This window comes from Homo sapiens, chromosome 6 (assembly GCF_000001405.40).
Source record: "Homo sapiens chromosome 6, GRCh38.p14 Primary Assembly".
NCBI lineage: Eukaryota > Metazoa > Chordata > Mammalia > Primates > Hominidae > Homo > Homo sapiens.
The window spans coordinates 87,316,302-87,322,322 of NC_000006.12; the positions used below are offsets into that span (position 1 = coordinate 87,316,302).

At 40.1% G+C, this 6,021-nt stretch overlaps 1 protein-coding gene across 1 annotated transcript in view; it reads right to left on the bottom strand.

The window, feature by feature from the left end:
* GJB7 (gap junction protein beta 7) overlaps positions 1-6,021 on the bottom strand; it is a 46,299-nt gene that overhangs the window by 33,322 nt on the left and 6,956 nt on the right. The window lies entirely within an intron of this gene.

Sequence of the window (6,021 nt, forward strand, 5' to 3'; positions counted from 1 at the left end):
CCTGCTCTAGTCCCCTCCTCATAAAATTATTTCTGTTTCTTAGCCTTTTCTTTTTCTTGCATAGCTCCAGTTCTTCTCCAAAAGTCAGCTCCCAGAGAATACAATTCCTACACACCAAGCAGGGCTGAGCTATGGGAGTGATGCCTCCCCTGATTATCCTTGTGAAGGATAAGTAGGAGTGAGGCAAAGGGCAGGTGTAGGAAAGAGTGTTCCATCAGGAAGTGTGAAGCCAAACAGTGACATGATTAGATGTATATTTTAGAAAGGAGGACAACAGCTTGTAGGGGAGCTTGGCTGGTGGCAAAGCCACTGGGGCATTAATCTTCTTAATCATCTTGACTCCTTTGGCTTTCAAAACACTCCACTTTTGATCTTCCTCACTCTGTTTTGACCATTTCTTCTCAAACCCTTTTGTGGTCTCCTGCTGTACTCATTCCCTAAACGTGGATGCATCTGAGCCTTCCTGGACTGGCCCCATCTGTTTCTCCAGTGTCATTTCTCTCATGTTCCATTTTATTATCCATTCTTTAGCAATAAGAAACACACCGCACCACACTATATGGCTTCATGCTTTGAGGTTTGTGTTCATTCTGTCTCCTCTGACCTGAAACATCCTTTCTAACTTCTTTGCCTTGCTTATCACTTTGATTGTGATTCTGGGCTCAGTCATCAGCCACATACCATCCTCTGTGTTATATCCAGGCCAAACAACATATAATTCTCTGTGCTTCCATAGAATCTTGTGCAAATCACTTTATATTGAAAGTATCTGGCTGGGCGTGGTGGCTCATGCCTGTAATCTCAGCACTTTGGGAGGCTGAGGTGGATGGATCAGTTTAGATCAGGAGTTCAAGACCAGCCTGGCCAACAGGGTGAGACCCTGTCTCTACTAAAAATACAAAAAAAAAAAAAATTAGCCGGGCATGATGGCACACGCCTATAACTCCAGATACTCAGGAGGCTGAGGTACAAGAATTGCTTGAGCCTGGGAGGCAGAGATTGCAGTGAGTTAAGATTGCGGCACTGTACTCTAGCCTGGGCGACAAAGCAAGACCCTGTCTCAAACAAACAAACAAACAACAAGAAATTATCTGTTTTAATTTGTCTCCCTCACTAATCTTTAATCTTTTCCTTTTTTTTTTTTTGAGACGGAGTTTCGCTCTTGTTGCCCAAGCTGGAGTGCAATGGCGTGATCTCAGCTCACTGCAACCTCCGCCTCCCGGGTTCAAGCAATTCTCCTGCCTCAGCCTCCCAAGTAGCTGGGATTACGGGCACGCGCCACCATGCCCAGTTAATTTTTTGTATTTTTAGTAGAAATGGGGTTTCATCATTTTAGCCAGGCTGGTCTTGAACTCCTGACCTCAGGTGATCTGCCCGCCTCAGCCTCCCAAAGTGCTGGGATTACAGGCGTGAGCCATGGTGGCCAGCCTCCCTCACTAATCTTTAAGAGTTTTAAGGGCAAAGATTATGTCTTAATCATCTTTGAATTCCTGGTGCCCAGGAAAGCATGTGGCACACTGAATGCACCAAAAATTTTCCTGCTAACCTGAGCCTAACTACACTGATAATAAACTTATGCTTTTTTCAAAAGAAGAACAGTTAGAATTAAAATGTTTTCATCTCATATCACTTTTAAGGTACTTTAAGACTTTAAATAATATAGAATAAATTATTATTATTTCTAATATTTCAAAATGTGAGAGAAGTAAATACAAAATGACCTGACATGAAAAGTATTAAAAACAGTTCTGCTAAAATTATATGGAAGAAAAAGAGTAATGAATTGTGATCCTCTAATAATATCAGTTCCCCATTCTATTTTTTTTTTTTTTTACTAATTTATATATCACACCATTTGATAGATTTCATTTTCTTCCCAGGTCAGACATTCCTGTGATGCCAGACAGCTATACAGTTTTCAAAAATAGCAAGATGTTTGTCCTTCTTACAAGCACCACTAGAAAACAGACTGCTCCTTAAGCTATCAGGCAAATACTCTTTGATCCCAGGGAATTTACAATGGAGGGCATATTATCAGTTTCTATTGGCACCATAATTCTGCACAACAACGAACTGAACCTCAATGTGGCAAACAAAAATACACATATTTAAGTTCATGAATCTGCAGAGTTCAGCTGATCTGGGCAGGCTTGACTGACCTCACTCAAGGCTTGCACACCTGTCTGGTCAATCTACAGTGGCTTCAGTTGGAATGACTAGGATGACTTGGCTTTGCTCTGTATGTTTTTCATCTCCAGCAGGCTAGCTGGAGTATGTTTACCAGTTCAGGTGTTTTTCCAGCTTATTTTGTGTGACATTTGCTAATATCATATTAGCAAAAATAAATCACAAGGGTGACCCCCCAGAGTCAGAGTGGGAGAGCATGGATAAAGGTGGGGACACAGGGAGGGGTGAAGAATTAGGAAGATTTTTTCAAATTACCAAAACGTGTAATTTTTTCATTTGTCAGCTAATAATTCATTCAAGGGAGTCAGATATCCTTGGCTCACATTGATCATATCAACTACTTTGGCTTGGCTTTCTGGTAGGAAAAGAAATAAGTGCCAGCATTTATGTTATTATTTTTTAAAAAAAGACCTGGCTTTGACAAAATACCAGTAATGTATGATTTTTATTAAATATTGTCAACCAACTATTCTTGCCTGAATTTTAAAAAGCGCTAGTGGCATCAGTGGTCCCTTGAGAAGGCTCCCAGACCACCAGTGTTGTTCCCAGAGCACACTTTGGGAACCCCAGATTAAAATAGATATCATTGGTCCCTTTGAATGTGTTTTCATACAGATTAATCTTTGCTTTATGCAATCCCATCAAATACAAAATCTCCTGGAAATATTATTAAATATTGATGGCCCTGCTCAAAATGAAGATTACAAAAGCCGAATCAGATTGGCATCACTCTTCAAAGTAATTTCTTAAAAGCAGCATAAAATGGAATGAATTATAAACAAAAATGACTAAACACGTCCTATCATTCACATTGTATTCATATCCATGAAATGGGCAAGGCCTTCAGGCTTTTCTCTGTTATCTTTACCTACAGCTTGTGCTCTTTTCTTACACATGCTTATGTTTCTTGTATTCTTTCATCTGATCACTTTCTATTGATCATGACAGTAAAAGTACTTTGTTTCCATAGTGATATTTGACATGTTACAGATCACTGAGAACCCTAAGGGATAAGAAAAAAGTTTGGGTCTGCTTAGGATGCAACATAATAATATTTTATAGCCTTCCAATTGTTTTTAGCTACTGCAGTAACAGCTTTTTAATTGAAATTTAACTTATTTTGTCAGAAGATTGCCTTGTAATACCAGTTGTCAATGAACTTTTAAAAATTAAACCTCAAGCCAGGTATATACCTAAAAGAAAGGAAATCAACACATCAAAAAGATATCTGCTCTCCCATGTTTACTGCAGCACTATTCACAATAACCCAATTTAGATGCAATCTAAGTGTCCATCGACAGATAAATGGATAAAGAAAATGTGGTACATATACACAACAGAGTACTATTCAGCCATAAAAAACAATTTGCAACCACATAGATGGAACCGGAGGACATTATTTTCAGTGAAATAAGCCAGGCACAGGAAGACAAACTTTGCATGTTCTCACTTATTTGTGGGAGATACAAATTAAAACAAAAGAACTCATGAAAATAGAGTAGAATGATGGTTACCAGAGGCTGGGAAGGGTAGTGGGGATGGGGGGAGTGGGAAATGGGGATTTTTAGCGGGTACAAAAGTATAGTCAGATAAAATGAATAAGATCTAGTATTTGATAGCACAACACGGTGACTACAGTCAGCAATAGTTGATTGTACATTTAAAAATAACTAAGGGTATAATTGGAATGTTTGTAACATAAATGATAAATCCTCGATGTGGTGGATACCCCATTTACCCTGATGTGATTATTATTCATTGTATGCTTGTACCAAAATATCTCATGTACCCCATAAATACATACACATAAATATTAAAAATTTTTAAAAATTAAACCTCAAATCAAATGTGAAGTTAATTTGGCTTGGGAGAAAAAGTTTTAAATTCGAAACATATTTACCAAAGCTTTACATAAACCCATGCCAAAATATTGGTACCTTCTATTCCAACTATTCTGTTCATTTTAATATAACTTGTGTAAACCAGAAAGTCTATGAGATAGGTCTCAATCAATTTAGAGGTTTATTTCACCAATGTTAAGGACCATGGCCTGTGACACAGCCTCAGGCAGTCCTGAGAACATGTGCCCAAGGTGGTCGGGCTACAGCTTGATTTTATACATTTTAGAGAAATGGAAGTTACAGGCAAAGACATGTATCAATACATGTAAGGTATACATTGGTTTGGCCCATCTCAAAGCAGCGTGGGGGTGGGCTTCCAGGTCAAAGATGAATTCAAAGATTTTTCACATTTTCAATTAGTTGAAAGAGTTAAGCTCTGCCTGAAGATGTGAAGCCAGCTGGAGTTAAGGTAAGCGGGGGTGTTGTGGCAGCCAAGGTTCTCCTTATGTAGATAAAGCCTCCGGGTAGCTGGCTTCAAAGAATAGATGTGAATGTCTCTTATCAGACCTTAAAAGATGTCAGACTCTCTGGAAAAGACCTAGTAAGGGGCCAGGCACAGTGGCTCACGCCTGTAATCCCAGCACTTTGGGAGGCCGAGGTGGGTGGATTGCCTGAGGTCAGGAGTTCGAGACCAGCCTGACCAATATGGTGAAACTCTGTCTCTATTAAAAATGCAAAAATTAGCTAGGCTTGGTGGCATACACCTGTAGTCCCAGCTACTCGGGAGGATGAGGCAGGAGAATTGCTTGAACCCAGGAGGTGGAGGTTGCAGTGAGCCGAGATCATGCCACTGCACTCCAGCCTGGGTGACAGAGTGACACTCCGACACTCCATCTCAAAAAAAAAAAAAAAAAAGATCTAGTAAGGGAAAGAGATTTTCTATAGAATGTAAGTTTTCCCCAACAAGAGACAGCTTTGCGAGGCCATTTCAAAATAGTCAAATAAATATATTTTGGGGTAACATATTTTTATTTCTTTCAGGTCCCACTATGTGTCACGTGATGTTATTCCAGAGTCAGGTTGGAATTTTCTTATTGCTACAGTATATTTTACCAGTCTTACGATCTCCGTTTTAATGTTAATGCTGGTCAGTTGTGTCTAACCTCCAACGGGAGGAAGGTATAATGAGGCATATCCAACCGCCCACCCCTTCCCATCAGGGCCTGAACTCATTTTTCAGGGTTTTTTTGAGATTACCTTGGCCAAGACAGAGGTCCATTCCTTTCAGGGGTGGGTTGGTGATGGTGGTGCTTAGAATTTTATTTTTGGTTTTTGTATTAGTCTCTTCTCACACTGCTAGAAAGAACCACCTGAGGCTGGGTAACTTATAAAGAAAAGAGGTTTCATTAGCTCACAGTTCCACAGGCTGTACAGGAGGTATGGCTCCAGAGGCCTCAGGAAACTTACAATCATGGTGGAAGAGGAAACAAGCACGTCTTACCGTGGTGCAGGAGAGAGAGAGAAAGAGAGAGAGTGTGAAGGGGGAAGTGCTACACTCTTATAAACAAACATCTTCTGAGAACTCCATCATGGGAATGGCAAGGGGGAAGTCGGCCCCATGATTCAGTGACCTCTCACCAGGCCCCTCCTTCAACACAAGGGGGCTATTATTCCATATGAGATTTGGGTGGGGACACAGAGCCAAACCACATCAGTTTTCACGTGTATCCCAACAAACTTAAACATCAGCAAAGTATGTGCAAACCAGCATCCCTATATCTATTCTTGTCTCAACTGCACCTGCATACATCCTGCATCTTGGACTCTCAAGGCCCTAACGTAATGGCAGAGTATTAACTCTACACTTAAATGACTGTTCCCCTAAAGTAGGGGTAGGAAGAAATCAGATCTAGCTTTCTTTCCCAAATCAGAATGCTTTCCACTTTCATGAAATAAACATACTTCTAGGAGATGTCTCCTTTTATTTATACAA